The sequence below is a fragment of the Homo sapiens genome, chromosome 17 (assembly GCF_000001405.40).
Source record: "Homo sapiens chromosome 17, GRCh38.p14 Primary Assembly".
NCBI lineage: Eukaryota > Metazoa > Chordata > Mammalia > Primates > Hominidae > Homo > Homo sapiens.
This window is the reverse complement of record NC_000017.11, coordinates 67,744,675-67,762,014: the sequence shown is the minus strand read 5'-3', so window position 1 is coordinate 67,762,014 and position 17,340 is coordinate 67,744,675. Positions and strand designations below refer to the sequence as shown.

General features: G+C 45.3%; 5 annotated features.

The window, feature by feature from the left end:
* Positions 8,708-9,002: a silencer, noted in NCBI's record as "tiled region #8992; HepG2 Repressive non-DNase unmatched - State 17:Gen3', and K562 Repressive non-DNase unmatched - State 15:Elon". NCBI's record gives its function as "represses a minimal TATA promoter and a strong SV40 promoter by Sharpr-MPRA in HepG2 and K562 cells {active_cell/tissue: HepG2 | K562}" and the evidence as "EXISTENCE:reporter gene assay evidence [ECO:0000049][PMID:27701403]".
* Positions 8,708-9,598: a biological region, named in NCBI's record as "Sharpr-MPRA regulatory region 8992".
* Positions 8,819-9,598: an enhancer, noted in NCBI's record as "OCT4-NANOG-H3K27ac-H3K4me1 hESC enhancer chr17:65748533-65749312 (GRCh37/hg19 assembly coordinates)". NCBI's record gives its function as "activates a minimal SCP1, AML or CMV promoter by ChIP-STARR-seq in naive and primed H9 embryonic stem cells {active_cell/tissue: H9 hESC(naive and primed)}" and the evidence as "EXISTENCE:reporter gene assay evidence [ECO:0000049][PMID:30033119]".
* Positions 9,599-10,378: an enhancer, noted in NCBI's record as "OCT4-NANOG-H3K27ac-H3K4me1 hESC enhancer chr17:65747753-65748532 (GRCh37/hg19 assembly coordinates)". NCBI's record gives its function as "activates a minimal SCP1, AML or CMV promoter by ChIP-STARR-seq in naive and primed H9 embryonic stem cells {active_cell/tissue: H9 hESC(naive and primed)}" and the evidence as "EXISTENCE:reporter gene assay evidence [ECO:0000049][PMID:30033119]".
* Positions 14,488-14,782: a silencer, noted in NCBI's record as "tiled region #6571; HepG2 Repressive non-DNase unmatched - State 15:Elon". NCBI's record gives its function as "represses a minimal TATA promoter and a strong SV40 promoter by Sharpr-MPRA in HepG2 cells {active_cell/tissue: HepG2}" and the evidence as "EXISTENCE:reporter gene assay evidence [ECO:0000049][PMID:27701403]".

The following is a 17,340-nucleotide window of genomic DNA, read 5'->3' as shown; positions in this document are numbered from 1 at the left end:
GAAAAGAAAAAAAAGGAAATCAACTTTCTGTTTGTTTCATAAGTCAGACATTTTTAAAGATTTGTTGTTTAAGATACAAATAAAGTTTCCATATTGCAATTGGTTATGTCCTTTTTTTTAATTAAAAAGCATTTTTGTTTTTATTTATTTATTTATTTATTTATTTATTTTTGAGACGGAGTCTTGCTCTGTTGCCCGGGCTGGAGTGCAGTGGCGCGATCTCGGCTCACTACAAGCTCCGCCTCCCGGGTTCACGCCATTCTCCTGCCTCAGCCTCCTGACCAGCTGGGACTACAGGCGCCCGCCACCACGCCAGGCTAATTTTTTTTTTTGTATTTTTAGTAGAGACGGGGTTTCACCATGTTAGCCAGGATGGTCTCGATCTCCTGACCTCGTGATCCGTCCGCCTCAGCCTCCCAAAGTGCTGGGATTACAGGCGTGAGCCACTGTGCCCTGCCGCATTTTTAATTTTTTTTTAGAGATGGAGTCTTGCTATGTTGTTCAAGCTGATCTTGAACTCCTGGTCTCAATTGATCCTCCCACCTTAGCACCCCTATCTGGGGTTACATGAGCCACAGTGCCTGGCTGATATGGCTTTTAAGTTTCTTCTAATGCATAGGTTATCCTTCCCTCTCTCTATTATACCCTTGTGATTTCTTTGTAGTAGAAAACCTAAATTATTTTTTTCTTTTGTTCTCCGTCTCTATCATCTTATGCTAAATTCTTTTTTTAAACATTAAATTAAAATTATTTTGAGATGATAGGTTGGCCTTAAAGCAAAATGATATCAGTTAGGAAAGTTCAGGCATGCATATTGTCCAGCCCCCTTTTGTAGTGAAACACTGATTCATTCACAAGGCAGTAATCCATAGAAAGAGAATATTGCATTGTAATATTCATATGCACAGGTATACTTATTTAAAATAGTTTTTTCATTTTATAAACCAGTGTTTAAGTGGCCTAAACTCTATAGAGTTCTCTCAGTGATGGTTTCTTTCTTTCTTTCTTTCTTTTCTTTTTTTTTTTTTTACCTGAGACGGAGTCTTGCTCTGTTGCCCAGGCTGGAGTGCAGGGGCGCGATCTCGGCTCACTGCAACCTCTGCTTCCCGGGTTCAAGCAATTCTCCTGCCTCAGGCTCCCGAGTAACTGATATTACAGGCACCCACCACCATGCCCAGCTAATTTTTGTATTTTTATTTTTATGTATGTATGTATTTATTTATTTATTTTGAGACGGAGTCTCGCTTTGCCACCCAGGCTGGAGGTGCAGTGGCGCCATCTCGGCTCACTGCAAGCTCCGCCTCCCGGGTTCACACCATTCTCCTGCCTCAGCTTCCCAAGTAGCTGGGACTACAGGCGCCCGCCACCACACCCGGCTAATTTTTTGTATTTTTGTTAGTAGAGACGGGGTTTCATCATGTTAGCCAGGATGGTCTCGATCTCCTGACCTCGTGATCCACCCACCTCAGCCTCCCAAAGTGCTGGGATTACAGGCGTGAGCCACCGCGCCTGGCCTAATTTTTGTATTTTTAGTAGAGACAGTGTTTCACCATGGTGGCCAGGCTGGTCTCGAACTCTTGACCTTGTCACCTGCCTGCCTCGGCCTCCCAAAGTGCTGGGATTACAGGCGTGAGCCACCATGCCTGGCCATTCAGTGATAGTTTCTAAAAGGTAAAATGAAATCACTGGGCTCATTTTATGTGAAAGAGCGGGGTCTACAGTTACTGTCGAGGGAAACAGCCATGGCACAGGGCAGAGAGTGTTCGGTGTGGATAAGAACAAGAAAGTGCCTCCAGATTAGCTGCTCCTTATTAAGAGGCTCGAGGCTTTGAGAAACCGAAAAGTTGAAAGACACCTGGTTGCTATGGTCATATAGGCAAAGTAGAGAACAGAGATAATCCTCATTTGCCTACAAGGTAAACAAGGGTTTGGGAGCTGCTTTATCTCTGGAACAGCTTTAATTTCCCACTACCCATTGCAAGGGTGTGGTGAGCAGAGCTTCTTGGCTGAAGTGCTGTGGTCCAGGGGATTAGCCTGCAGTGTGTTAGGGAGAGGGCCTCCCTTCCTTCCTCTCCTCTCTGGGGCCTGTCACCTCCTGCCCTTTGAGTCTAGCCAATGTACACCCTGTCCCAAAAGAGGGTGGCTCCGGGAGAGCCGTGGAGCTGCTGGGCAGGCAGTAGGTCAGGGGGTGACTGGGTGTGGACTCATGTGGATGACATCGGGGATGCCTGGCCCTGGGAATAGGGCCAGGCCAGATTATTTTTCTGGCTATCGTGGGCCTCAATATACATTCCTTTCGCTCTGTCCAAGTTGGAAATTCCTTTGCACAAGCATCTGTGTGTGTGTGTGAGCACGTGTGTGGTATGAAAAACACACAGGAAGAAGCTGGGAAGACCCAGATTTACAGATGTTCTGGTCCTGAGATCCCAGCCCTCAGTTCTCTGGCCTTTCAGGAAACGTAGATGCAGAACAAAAGAGAAAGAGCTGCCAGTCCTCTCTCAGTCTATTATGCGCAACCTCGGAAGGGCTGTGTCAGTTTTACTAAATGGAAAAATCACAATAGCAAATCTAGATTCAAGATATATGACCAGAGCCAGGTACTTTGCTCGCATTATTTCATTTCATTTTGCTTTGTAATCTCTGAGGTACGTGGAAAGGATTGGAGGGAAGCAAAGAAAGGGAGGCTTGGTGAAGCCAAGCAACTTGCTCAAAGTTGAGTTTGAACACATTCGGCCCTTGTGCTATAGCTAATTTGCTCTGTGATTCTAGGCAAATCATATGGTCTCTCTGAGCCTCGGTTTCCCCATCTGCAAAGTGAGAATAACAGTGACACCTGTAATCCCAGCACTTTGGGAGGCCAAGGTAGGAGGACCACTTGAGGACAGAAGTTCAATGCCAGCCTGGGCAACATAGTGAGACCCTGTTTCCAAAAAAAAAAACCAAAAACCTGGATGTGGTGGTGTGTACCTGTGGTCCTAGCAACTTGGGAGGCCGAGGTGGGAGGATGACTTGAGGCCAAAAGTTCAAGACCACCCTGGACAACACAGTGAGACCCTATCTCTAAAAAATATATATATATATGTATTTATACCTGAGCGTAGTGGTGTGCACCTGTGGTCCTAGCTACTTGGGAGGCTGAGGTGGGAGGATCACTGGAGCCTAGGATTTTGAGGCTGTAGTGAGCTACGATCACATCACTGCAATTCAGTTGGGGCAATAGAGCAAGACACTGCCTCTAAGCACTTTTTAAATAATAGTAATACTGGCCAGGTGTGCTGGCTCACGCCTGTAATCCCAGCACTTTGGGAAGCTGAGGTGGGTGGATCACCTGAAGTCAGGAGTTCAAGACCAGCCTGGCCAACATGGTGAAACCCCATTTCTACTAAAAAGGCAAAAAATTAGCTGGGTGTGATGGTGGGTTCCTGTAATCCTAGCTACTTGGGAGGCTGAGGCAGGAGAATTACTTGACCCAGGAGGCAGAGGAGATCACGCTGTTGCACTCTAGCCTGGGCGACAGAGCAAGCCTCTGTCTCAAAGAAAGAAAAAAGTAATACCTACCCACAGAAATGAATTCAAAGACAAGATGAACTAATGCATGGAAGGTCACTTGATGAACTAAAGCACTATCTAAAAACAAGGTAAGAAGTTTAGAATGCTGCTTGCTCAGGACAGACCCAGATGTTTTCTTGGTAACAAGGGGTAATGATTTCTTTGCTGAAATCTTCTAGTTAAGAAGGTAGGTCATCTCACTGTATCTTTCTCTTTTCATAAGATGCAATAAAGCTCATGTCATTTTGACTGAGGAATAAAAAATGAAGCCTGTAGGCCAGGCGTGGTGGCTCACTCCTGTAATCACAGCACTTTGGGAGGCCAAGGCAGGTGGATCACCTGAGGTCAGGAGTTTGAGACAAGCCTGGCCAGCATAGCGAAACCCCATCTCTACTAAAAATACAAAAATTGGCCAGGAGTGGTGGCAGGCACTTGTAATCCCAGCTACTCAGGAGGCTGAGGCAGGAGAATCTCTTGAACCCAGGAGGCAGAGGTTGCAGTGAGCCGAGATTGTGCCACCGTACTCCAGCCTGGGTGACAAGAGCAAAACTCCGTCTCAAAAAAAAAAAAAATGAGGCCTGTAAACATTTGTACTTTTCCTGAATTACCCCTTGTGCTAAAAGACTTTTGCTCCTGCAGAGGCTGCACCTTCTTCAGAGGCAGGCCAAGTTTTAACTTCTATATATTAGCAGCAGCTTCAAGCCAGGTCTTGAGCACTGGTTAGTCTCTTGCCCAATGTCTGGTTGACAAACACACTTTCTCCAGTTCCTGGCCAAATACAAAAAAATGCCTTGCATTAAGAGATTTAAGATCTCTTACATAGGTAGTATATATATATATTTCTCCATTAACATTTACAAAGGAGCCAGGCAAGGTGGCTTACACCTGTAATCCCAGCACCGTGGGAGGCCAAGGCAGGAGGATCACTTGAAGTCAGGAGGTCGAGACCAGCCTGGCCAACATGATGAAACGCCATCTCTACTGAAAATACAAAAATTAGCCAGGTATGGTGGTGCACACCTGTAATCCCAGCTACTAAGGTGGCCGAGGCAGAAGAATTGCTTGAACCCGGGAGGCAGAGGTTACAGTGAGCTGAGATTGTACCACAGCACTCTAGCCTGGATGACAGAGTGAGACTCTATCTCAAAAAAAAAAAAAAAAAAAAAGGTACAAAGGAAGTGTTTTGTATTTTTTATTTTTAAAACTTCATTTATTCTACATGCACAGATATATTTATTTATTTATTTTATTTTGAGACGGAGTCGCCCTCCGCCGCCCAGGCTGGACTGCAGAGGCGTGATCTCAGCTTACTGAAACCTTCGCCTCCTGGGTTCAGGAGATTCTCCTGCCTCAGCCTTCTGGGTAGCTGGGATTACAGGCACGCGCCACCACACTCGGCTAATTTTTGTATTTTTAGTAGACACAGGGTTTCGCCATGTTGGCCAGCCTGGTCTCAAACTCCTGACGTCAAGTGATCCACCTGCCTTGGCCTTCCAAAGTGGCGAAACCCGCCATCTCTACTAGAAATACAAAAATTAGCCGGGTGTTGTCACATGTGCTACTTGGGAGCTGAGGCACAAGCCAACTACTTGGGAGGCTGAGGCACAAGAATTGCTTGAACCCAGTGGGGTGGAGATTGCAGTGAGCCAAGATTGCATCACTTCACTCCAGCCTGGGTAACAGAGCAAGACTTCATCTCAAAAAAAAAAAAAAAAAAAATTGAGTCTCTGAAATAAACTGACAATGGATATATTAATAGGAGAAAAATCATTTTAATTACCTTCTTGTGCAGGTGAGTCCCAAAATATAAGACTGTAGCTACTGAAAGCAATAGAGGGGCCTGTGGCTTCTGGGGGAGTAGTGGTGACAAGTTATGAGAGGGTGAGGAGAGGAAATGCATGGTGAGCAGAGGTTGTCTTGTTATGCAGATAAAAGATCTCGCAGGTAATAGAAGTTCTCTTGCAGCAGCCCTCAGAAGAACAGGTGATAGTCTGTGATGAACTCTAGGTGTGGGGTCAACCTTCAGTCTCTCCTATGATACAGTTAATCTTCTCTTGTTGATGAGACTCCTAGGGAGGGGATTCATGACAATTCTATTCCTTCTAGAAAGTCTATCTGTAATTGCCCAATGGGTTCTTCCTGCCTGCTGCCTGGAAAAGCCAATACAATGAGAACAGCAGGAGTGTTACAGCAGAGAAAGAATTTAATGATTGCAAGGCAGCCGAGTGGAAGGACAGCAGATAATTCTCAATCCACTCCTCTGAGAATTCAGAGGCTGGGATTTTTCAAGAATTGTTTGGCGAGCAGGGGGCTAGGGAACAGGTAATGCTGACTGGTTGGGTCTGCAATGAAATCACAGGGGGTTGAAGGTGTCTTCTTGCCCTGAGTCAGTTCCAGAGTGGGGTGGCAGGACTGGTTGAGTCAGTTTCTTGGTATAGGTTACTGGTTCAGGTGGTGCTAGCTGGTCCATCAGAATGCAAGGTCTGAAAAATACCTCAGGCTGGGCACGGTGGCTCACGCCTGTAATCCCAGCACTTTGGGAGGCCGAGGTGGGTGGATCAGGAGGTCAGGAGATCAAGACCATCCTGGCTAACATGGTGAAACCCCGTCTCTACTAAAAAAACAAAAAATTAGCCGGGCGTGGTGGTGGGCACCTATAGTCCCAGCTACTCAGGAGGCTGAGGCAGGAGAATGGCATGAACCCGGGAGGCGGAGCTTGCAGTGAGCCGAGATTGCGCCACTGCACTCCAGCCTGGGTGACACAGCGAGACTCAATCTCAAAAAAAAAAAAAAAGGAAAAATACCTCAAATACCACACTTAGGTTTTATCATAATGATGTTATCTATAGGAGCAATTGGGGGGTGGGTTACAAATCTGGTCACCTCTGGCAACATGACTCCTGAACTGTAATTCCAACCTTGTGGCCAATTTGTTAGATTTACAAAGGTGGTTTCGGTCCCACAGCAAATAGGGGATTCATTTTGGGAAGGAACTGTTAATCATCTTTTAAAGTGAAACTGTAAACTAAACTTCCATAGTTAGCTTGGCCTAGGCCCATGAATGAGCAAAAAGTTAGCTTGTGAGGTTAGAAGCAAGATGAAGGCACTATGTCAGATTTATCTCACTGTCATAATTTTTGCAAAGGCAGTTTCATGTCTTTAGGCAGACAAGGGAAATTCAGAGAGACCCCTTCTTGTGTTTTAGGGAAGAGGTTGTGAGCAGGAGATCAGAGAGACCTTGGTTCTGAGGTTGCCTCCAGTCTCCATTAGTTCAAAATACTCAGCATGCCAAAGTGCCATATTTTTTTTTTTTTTTTTTTGAGATGGAGTCTCACCCTTTCACCCAGGCTGGAGGCTGGAGTGCAATGGCACAATCTCGGCTCACTGCAACCTCCGCCTCCTGGGTTCAAGTGATTCTGCTGCCTCAGCCTCCCAAGTAGCTGAGATTACAGGTGCATGCCATCATGCCCGGCTAATTTTTTGTGTCTTTAGTAGAGACGGGGTTTCACCATGTTAGCCAGGCTGGTCTCAAACTCCTGACCTTGTGATCAGCCCACCTCGGCCTCCCAAAGTGTGGGGATTACGCGCCCAGCCCAAAGCGCCATACTTTAGTGCATCACTTCCTGAGCCCATAGCTTAGAGCAGGTAGAGCAAGGCTCAGAGCACAAGAAGGAGAGGAGGTAGGGTGGCGAGATCATGCAGTGCTCTGTGGGCCTTAGTCAGGAATTTGGATTGTAGTTTTTGTTTTTTTTTTTTTTTAGACAAGGTCTAGCTCTATTGCCCAGGCTGGAGTGCAGTGGTGCAATCACGGCTCACTGCATCCTCCACCTCCAGGGTACAAGTGATCCTCCCACCTCAGCCTCCCTAGTAGCTGGGACCACGGGCGCATGCCACCACACTTGGCTAATTTTTTGTAGAGACAGGGTTTTGCCATGTTGCCCAGGCTGGTCTCGAACTCCTGACCTCAAGCAATCCACCCACCTCCGCCTCCCAAAGCACAGCTTATGGGCATAAGCCACCATTCCCGGCCCTGGCTTCTATTTTAAGACCGCAACAAGAAGTCATTAAACCTTTTTTAGAAAAAAAAATGGTAAAATTCACAAAACAAAAGTTGCCATTTTAATGTGTACAATTCAGTGATATTTAGTACACTCAATGTTGTGCAACTATCATCATTATCCAGTTCCAGAACCTTTTCCTCACCCCAGAAGGAAAACCCCAAACCCTTTCAGCAGTCACTCCCCATCCTTCCCCGACCCACCGCCTGCCCGCTGCAGCCCCAGCCCCTGGCAACCCCTAACCTGCTTTCTGTCTCTATGAATTTGCCTCTTCTGAACATTTCATACAACTAGAGTCATACAACACACAGCCTTTTTAAACTGGCTTCTTTCATTCAGCGTCATGTTTTCTAGATTCATCCATGTTATAGCATGGATCAGTACGTGGAAACTTTTTATTTATTGAATTAATTAATTTTTATTTATTTATTTATTTATTTTTTTAGACAGAGTCTCACTCTGTCACCCAGGCTGGAGTGCAGTGGTGCAATCTCGGCTCACTGCAACCTCCGCCTCCAGGGTTCAAGTGAGTCTCATGCCTCATCCTCTCAAGCAGCTGGGACTACAGGTTTGCGCCATCACGCCCAGCTAATTTTTTGTATTTTTAGTAGAGATGGGGTTTTACCATGTCGGCCAGGCTGGTCTCAAACTCCTGGCCTCAGGTGATCTGTCCACCCTGGCCTCCCAAAGTGCTGGGATTATAGGCATGAGCCAGTGTGCCGAGCCTTAGTTTTTCTTTCTTTATTTTTTGTAGAGATGGGGTCTCCCTATGTTGCCCGTGCTGGTCATAAACTTCTGGCCTCAAGGGATCCTCCTGCTTTAGCCTCCCAAAGTGCTGTGATTACAGACATGACCCACCATGCCTCGCCAGAACTTTTTTGTTTTTCAATTTTTGTTTGTTTTTCTTTCTTTATGCACCGCTAAGAGTAGTATGAGGAAACTTTTTAAAGGGCATGTGAACTGATACGATTTATGTTTTAGGATCATCTGCTGTGAGAAGAATATTCTAATAGGAGAGAAGCCAGAGGGAAAGCAGGCAGTCAGTTGGGGGCTGCTGCAGTGGGGAGGGCGAGAGATGCTGGAGAACGGGTCGGTGGCCACAGTGGAAATGGAGCAGGGAATGGGGCACCAGCCGTTCCAAGCACCAGCACCGGAGTGGACTCCATGTGGGGCTTGCAGCTGGACCAGACATGCTGCACCTGGGAAATATCTCACAGGGAAGGTGCACAGGAATTGCTGATGGATGAGGGATTCGAGAAGTGAGGTGCCAAGTACCCAGGAAGTCCAAGGTGGGATTGAGGAGGGGAACAGAAGTGGGGGAAAATTGGCCGGACGCAGGGGCGCACGCCTGTAATCCCAGCACTTTGGGAGGCTAAGGTGGGTGGATCACCTGAGGTCGGAAGTTCAAGACCAGCCTGGCCAACATACTGAAACTCCATCTCTACCAAAAATACAAAAATTAGCTGGGTGTGGTGGTGCATGCCTGTAATCCCAGCTACCCAGGAGAATGAGGCAGGAGAATCTCTTGAACCCGGGAGGCGGAGGTTGTGGTGAGCCAAGATCATGCCATTGCACTCCAGCCTGGGCAACAGGAGCGAAACTATGTCTCAAAAAAAAAAAAAAAAAAAAAAAGTGGGGGGAAAATCCAGAATTCCATTTTGAGTACATTAAGCTTGAGATATCTAATCAAAAATGTTAATCAGGCAGTGGAAATTCAAATTTAGGAATTAGTGGGGAAGTCAGAGCTAGAGATAAAAATTTAAGGATCACTAGCCAGAAGATTGAGTTTAAATCCAGGAGAATATGTATTGAATTATATGCATTATAATAAAGCTATTTCCACCCTCAAGGGTGACCAAGAATAAGAGGTCTGTAAATCTATTACTTCTCGGCTCCTAGCAAAAAGCAGAATATTCTGCATTTGAATGAGTAATCAGCATTCACAAAGACATCCACAGAGGACTATATTCAGAGCCCATAGCCCCATTCCACACACCTCTTTGCATTTCTATTGCTGCTACAGTTAATCAGCCCAACAACAAGGTAACACTCACCCATTGTGTAAGTAAAAGAAATTTTGCCTTTCAATAAGGAAACCAGGGCTGGGCACAGTGGCTTATGCCTGTAATCCCAGCATTTTGGAAGGCTGAGGTGGGCGGATCACGAGGTCAAGAGATTGAGACCATCCTGGCCAACATGGTGAAACCCCATCTCTACTAAAAAATACAAAAATTAGCTGGGCATGGTGGCATGCACCTGTAGTCCTGGCTACTCGGGAGGCTGAGGCAGGAGAATCGCTTGAACCTGGGAGGCAGAGGCTGCAGTGAGCCAAGATTGCGCCACTACACTCTGGCATGGTGACAGAGCGAGACTGTCTCAAAAAAAAAAAAAAGAAAAGAAAAGAAAACCAACAAAGTGGGTCAGGCTCCTGTTCATTGAGGACACTTAACATCAAAGAAATCAAACTCTTTTATTTTTTTTGAGACAGGCTCTCACTCTGTCACACAGGCTGGAGTGTGGTGGCATGCCACTCTCTGCAGCCTGGAACTCCTGGGCTCATGCCATCTTCCCACCTCAGCCTCCCAAGTGGCTGGGACTACAGGTAGGCACCACTGGGACCAGCTAATTTTTTATTTTTTGTAGAGACGGGGTTACCCAGGCTGGTCTCAAACTCCTGTGCTCAAGAGATCCTCCCACCTTTGATGCAGGATTTTTCTTAGTCACTTTGCCAGCTGGAGATTTCCAGCTGGCAACTCCCCTGCCCAGGCCTTGCTCAGGCCTGGGCTTGCTGCAGGAGACACCCTGTCTACTCAGCCTGCTGGGCTGCACCTGGCTTGCACTCCAGTGCAGGTCCCATAGCTGCCACTACTGTGTGCTTAGCCCCTGGCAGGACGGGGTGTGTGAGTGAGGGAGTGTGGGGTCTGGCTGGCCGTTCCAAGTGCTGGCAGGGGAATGGGCTCCATGTGGGGCTTGTAGCTGGACCAGGCATGTCACAAGTGACTCCCATGGTGGACTCTGGCATCCAGAGGAGGGGAACACGGTGGCACCCAGGCAGGGGTGCCCATGACCCTGAAGCCCCAGAGGGGGTGTTACGGCATGCAAATTAGCTCTTTTAGTCCCTTTGTCCGCAGCCTGATGGACAATGCCATGTTAACAACACCATCAGTCCTGTTGCCCTGCTCTGGCCCAAGGCTCCAGGGCTGGCTTGGCCCTGCTGCTGCTTCCCATCACATGAGGCAGCTGCTCTCCACTGGTGGAGGGTGTACAGCCTTCTTTGTACCCGTGCTTGGTGGGTCCCAAGTTCTTATCCCCTGTCCAAGAAGAATGAGGTTATACTGACAATAAAGGGTGACGAGGGTGGAGAAGAATTTTAGTGAGTGACAAAACAGCTCTCAGTAGAGACGGGATGTGAGGGTGGTCCCCTACTCAAAGTCAGGTGGTCTCTCACTCAGTGTGGCTGGGTCTGGGGCTTTTATGTGCTCAGAATAGGGAGTGCTGATTGGTTTGTGGGTAAGCAAAAAAAGGCTAAAACAAAGGCACCACTCAAAGGTGGGCACGACAGTGTAATACACCAATTAGGGAAGGGTATATACATGTAAAACAGGTGCAGGGTGGGGATCAATCAGAGGAAAGTGTGCCAAACAGGAAGACAGTTTCCCAATCCAGTCTGTGGACTTACCCAGGACTTGTAGCTAGGCTTTAAACTGTCTTTGGCTTGAAGTTTGGGTTTCACTGGGGATCTGCCCCTGTCTGCCTAGGGTTTGTCTGCCTCCTGCTGCTATCACCTTGGCATCCCAAAGTACTGTGATTACAGGCCTGAGCCACCATGCCTGGCCAACTTTTGCTTTAATGGAAGGAAAAAAATATTCACAATGTGTTTTCCAGTAAAATAATTTTTCCTTTTTGTTTTTGGTGTACAACATAATCTTTTGATATATATATACCTTGTGGAATGGCTAAATCAAGCTAATTAACATAAATATTACCTCACATACTTATTTTTGCCTGTGGTAGAATACTCAACATTTATTCTCTTAGCAATTTTCGTGTATATAATCTATTAACCATAATCACCATAGATTTTGAAATTGCCTTTGCAGAAATTATAGTAGTAATGGAAGTCTGACATAACTGACTCCATCTTGCTTCTACCAGACTAAGTTGCTTTTGGTCATTCCATTTTTTTTTTTTTTCTTTTTGAGACAGAGTCTTGCTCTGTCACCCAGTCTGGAGTGCAGTGGCGGAATCTCAGCTCACTGCAACCTCTGCCTCCCATGTTCAAGCGATCTCCTGCCTCAGCCTCCTGAGCAGCTGAGATTACAGGTGCCCACCACCACACCGGCAAATTTTTGTATTTTTAGTAGAGATGAGGTTTCACCAAGTTGGCCAGGCTGGTGCTTTTGCTTATTTTTATGCAGAGGCCATAATAGTCCTTCCCTTGAACTAATCTCCTTTGTTCAAAAATTGAAACCAGCCAGGCATGGTGGCTCACGCCTGTAATCCCAGCACTTTGGGAGGCCGAAGCGAGTGGATCATGAGGTCAGGAGTTCGAGACCAGCCTGGCCAACATAGTGAAACTCCATCTCTATTAAAAATACAAAAATTAGCCAGGCATGGTGACACACGCCTGTAGTCCCAGCTACTCAGGAGGCTGAGGTGGGAGAATCACTTGAACCTGGGAGGCGGAGGTTGTGGTGAGCCAAGATCGTGCCACTGCACTCCAGCCTGGGCAACAGAGTGAGACTCTTGTCTCAAAAAAAAAAAAAAAAAAAAAGAAATTGAAACTGAGGCTGGGCATGGGGGTTCACACCTGTAATCTCAGCACTTTGGGAGTCCAAGGCAGGCAGATTACCTTGTCAGGAGTTCGAGACCAGCCTGGCCAATATGACAAAACCCCATCTCTACTAAAAATACAAAAATGAGCTGGACATGGTGGTGCATGCCTGAAATCCCCACCACTTGAGAGGCTGAGGAATGAGAATCACTTGAACCCAGAAGGTGGAGGTTGCAATAAGCCGAGATCACGCCACGGTACCCTTAGCCTGGGTTACAAACCGAGACCTGGTTAAAAAAAAAAAAAAAAGATAACTGTTGAAGCTGGGCGATATGTATGGTATTTGTTAAACTCTTTTTTTTTTTATGTTTGGAGTTGTCTATAATAAAAAGAAAAAGAAGGAACCTACACAAGTTTAAAATACATAATCAGTCTCTGTGAGCTAAAATTTTGTTGACTTTTTGCAGTTTTGTGTTTGTGTCCACCTTTCCTAGGTTTATTATACTATTTTATTGTACATGTCTCTTTGTGAAAGAGGCAATGCATAAATAAAAAGCCTATACCAAAGCTAATAGAAGACTTAAACTTCCTGATTTTCCTAAGGGAATCATGCACTAAACTTGAAAATAGTGCAAACTGAATTCTGTAGAGTATGCTGTTGCATATTATAAGCTATTGTCCAACCCAGTAATGTAAAGTAAAGAAATGGTGCATGTGGTCTATGCAAATCCAAGAACATTTTCTTCAAGTTTATTGTTCTCTAAGTGAATCTTATTTTATTGAGATAGTCTCACTTTGTTGCCCAGGCTGGAATGTAGTGGTGCTATCTCGGCTCACTGCAAACTCTGCTTCCCGGGTTCAAGCAATTCTTGTGGCTCAGCCTCCTGAGTAGCTGAGATTACAGGCATGTGCCACCACGCCCAGCTAATTTTTGTATTTTTTGTAGAGATGGAGTTTCGCCATGTTGGCCAGGCTGGTCTCGAATTTCTGGCCTCAAGTGATCTGCCTGCCTCGGCCTTCCCAAGGGCTGGGATTACAGGTGTAAGCCACTGCGCAAGCCCAAGTTTATTTTACTTCTTTCCTTTTTTTTTGTTTTTTGAGACAGGGTCTTGCTTTGTTACCCAAGCTGGAGTACAGTGGCACAAACATGGCTCACTATAGCCTCAACCTCCTGGGCTCAAACGATCATCTCATGTCAGCCCAAGTAGCTGGGACTACAGGCACGTACCAACACAACCAGCTAATTTTTAAATTTTTGTAGAGACAGGGTCTCCCCATGTTACCCGACTACTGTGGTAGTTACATTTCCTGAGCTTAAGTGATCTCCCTGCCTCAGCCTCCCGAAGTGCTTGGATTACAGGCATGAGCCACTGTGCCCTGTTGGTCCAAATTCATTTTGAAGTAATATAAAACATCTGTATATTAACTATCCCTTACCTGGTGTATAACCAAACAAACCAGAAGAAATAGATGCTGTCAGCTCTGTGGTCTGAACGTATTAAACAAAGCATAACAAATTTGGCACTGACAACCCAAAGCATATGAATTCATCCAGAGATGAAAAGTAGCCAAGGATAATTAGGTTCACATGAAATTAAATTTAGACAAGAATTTCAATTTGTCAATTTACAGGGATTATGCCAATTTAGGAAACTGTAATTACCTCTCATATAGAGCCTCCCCATCCTGGTATTTGTGTTTCTGGGAGAGTAAATCAGTGTCAGTTGCTTGGCAAGTATGGAATTAGAGGGAAGATACTTCCAAGAAAAAAGAATTTCATTTTGGCAACAATGTGCAACTACCAGAAAGATCCCCTCCTCCTTCCTTCAGCTATGAAAGACATTACTGGGACAACTGTGGAAATCAGAATATAGACTGTAATCACTCTAGAGAACAATACTCCATTAATATAAATTTTCTGAATTTGATCGTTGTATTGTGGTCATGCAGAAGATGCCCTTGTTTTAGAGGATTAAGCTGAAGTATTTATGGGATTAAGCTGAAGTGTCTGGATGTCTGCAAATAACTCTCCAGTGGTTTAGGAACGAAAGAAAAAATACAGAGATTAGCAAAGCAAACATGATAAAATGTTACCAATTGGTAAATTTAGATGAAGGGTATATGGGTGTTGTTTTTGCTTGCAATTTTTTTTTAAGATTAAACTGTTCAAAAAAGAACTGGATATATGATCCAGAATGAACTCAACCATAATGATGTCACCAACAATTACAAAGAAGGCTAAGGAGGCAAAAAGCAAATAAATGCCGCATGTTAAGTAGTAATAACCCGTTAGCCCACATTTCCTTCGGAAAACAGATAAGGTTCATAAGAGGAAGTCATTTCCTTTTTTTATTTTTGAGACAGAGTTTCACTCTTGTCACCCAGGCTGGAGTACAATGGCACGATCTTGGCTCACTGCAACCTCCACCTCCTGGGTTAAATGATTCTCCCGCCTCAGCCTCCCAAGTAGCTGCAATTACAGGCGCACGCCAACAGGCCCGGATAATTTTTGGATTTTTAGTAGAGACAGGGTTCCACTATGTTGGCCAAGCTGGTCTCGAACTCCTGACCTCAAGTGATCTGCCCACCTCAGGCTCCCAAAGTGCTGGGATTACAGCCGTGAGCCACCGCGCCCGGTCAAAAGTCATTTTCTAGATGGAACTTCAGTTTAAAGAACAATTCTTTTATTGTTATATAGATGTAGTATATATTATATAATCAGAAATAAATCTGAGATATATAGTGTTATATGGCCTAGAGGAAGAAGACACACTGCCTATATATGATGAACATGGATAATTTACTTTCCAAGAAAAGGAACTATAGCAAACCGTCAGAATTTTACTCTGTAGTTAGATAAAATCTATTATTCAAAGACTTTATTCACTAACCATAACACCTGTTATGTCCCAGTGGACCTAGGCTTAGTCCTTGCCTTGAAGAACAGCCTATCAGAGTGTCTGCATATCTTTTTAAAATCCTAGTTTACTTTTAGTAATTTAGATTGCAGGTAACCTAGAAATAATTTATAACTACTATTTAAAGGCAATTATGCCCGGGTGCAGTGGCTCACACCTGTAATCCCAGCACTTTGGGAGGCCGAGGCAGGTGGCCTAACTCACTTTAGGCCAGGAGTTCGAGACCAGCTTGGCCAACATGGGGAAAGACTGTCTCTACTAAAAATACAAACATTAGCCGGGCATGGTGGCATATGCCTGTAATCTCAGTTACTTGGGAGGCTGAGGCATGAGAATCACATAAACCTGGGAAGCAGAGGTTGCAGTGAGTTGAGATCGCACCACTGCACTCCAGCCTGGGCGAGAGAGTGAGGCTCTGTCTCAAAAACAAAATGAAATAAAGGCAGTTACAATTTTCTACTCTAATTAAAATGGCATATAATTCTGAAAACCATAATACAGTTTATAGTCTTGTTTGTGGTAGTTACATTTCGTCAAGTATCTGATTCCTTACCATGTAAGTTATTTTTCAATGCAGAAGCCAGTCTTTAAGTACAAAATTAAATCAAAAGTCATGAAGAGTAAAATGTCAATCTATGAACTGACTGCCTCTGCATTTCAGTTGTTTATCTTCTTTTTACTGGCTAAGAGTTCACAGATCAATGAGACTTGTCTCTTTAATTATGGGTTCTTAGATATAAAATAAGAATCCACTACGCTAAAGCTCAAAATTCTTATAAAGAAAAGCTTAGGAACTCATAATTTTATATTATCTGGATGTCTGCAGATAATTCTTAAATGGTTCAGCAAAAAAAGATAAAAAGGTGGGGCCGGGCGTGGTGGCTCACGCCTGTAATCCCAGCACTTTGGAAGGCCAAGAAGGGCAGATCACCTGAGGTCAGGAGTTGCAGGCCAGCATGGCCAACATGGTGAAACCCTGTCTCTACTAAAAATACAAAAATTAGCTGGGTGTGGTGAGGCATGTCTGTAATTCCAGCTACTCGGGAGGCTGAGGCAGGAAAATTCCTTGAACCTGGGAGGCAGAGCAAGACTCCATCTGAAAAAAATGATAAATAGGCCGGGTGCGGTGGCTCATGCCTGTAATCCCAGCACTTTGGGAGGCCGAGGTGGGTGGATCACGAGGTCAAGAGATTAAGACCATCCTGGCTAACACAGTGAAGCCCCATCTCAACTAAAAATACAAAACAAATTAGCCGGACCTGGTGGCAGGTGCCTCTAGTCCCAGCTACCCAGGAGGCTGGGGCAGGAGAATGGCATGAACCCGGGAAGCAGAGCTTGCAGACTCCGTCTCAAAAAAGAAATAAATAAATAAATAAATAAATAAATAAATAAATAAATGAAATAAATAAAAAGGGGATATGCACCATGGAGACCGTATTTTTCATTTCTGCTAAGTACTGTATTACCGCTGAGCAAAAGGTCCCATTACATAAAGAGAACATGGTTTTTTTTTTTTTTTTTAAGGAGTTTCACTCTTGTTGCCCAGGCTGGAGTGCAATGGCGCGATCTTGGCTCACAGCAACCTTCACCTCCCAGGTTCAAGCGATTCTCCTGCCTTAGCCTCCCCGAGTAGCTGGGATTATAGGGATGCGCCACCATGCCTGGCTAATTTTTTTGTATTTTAGTAGAGACGGGGTTTCTCTATGTTGGTCAGGCTGGTCTCGAACTTCTGACCTCAGGTGATCTGCCCGCCTCAGCCTCCCAAAGTACTGGGATTACAGGCGTGAGCCACCGCACCCGGCCGATTTTTTTTTTTTTTCGAGACAGGGTCTTACTCTGTCATCCAGACTGGAGTGCAGTGGTGCTATCTTGGCTCAGCGCAACCTCCGCCTCCTGGGTTCAAGTGATTCTCCCATCTCAACCTCCTGAATAGCTGAGACTATAGGAACGCACCACCATGCCCAGCTAATTTTGTATTTTTTGGTAGAGATGGGGTTTCACCATGTTGTCCAAGCTGGTCTTGAACTCCTAACCTGAAGTA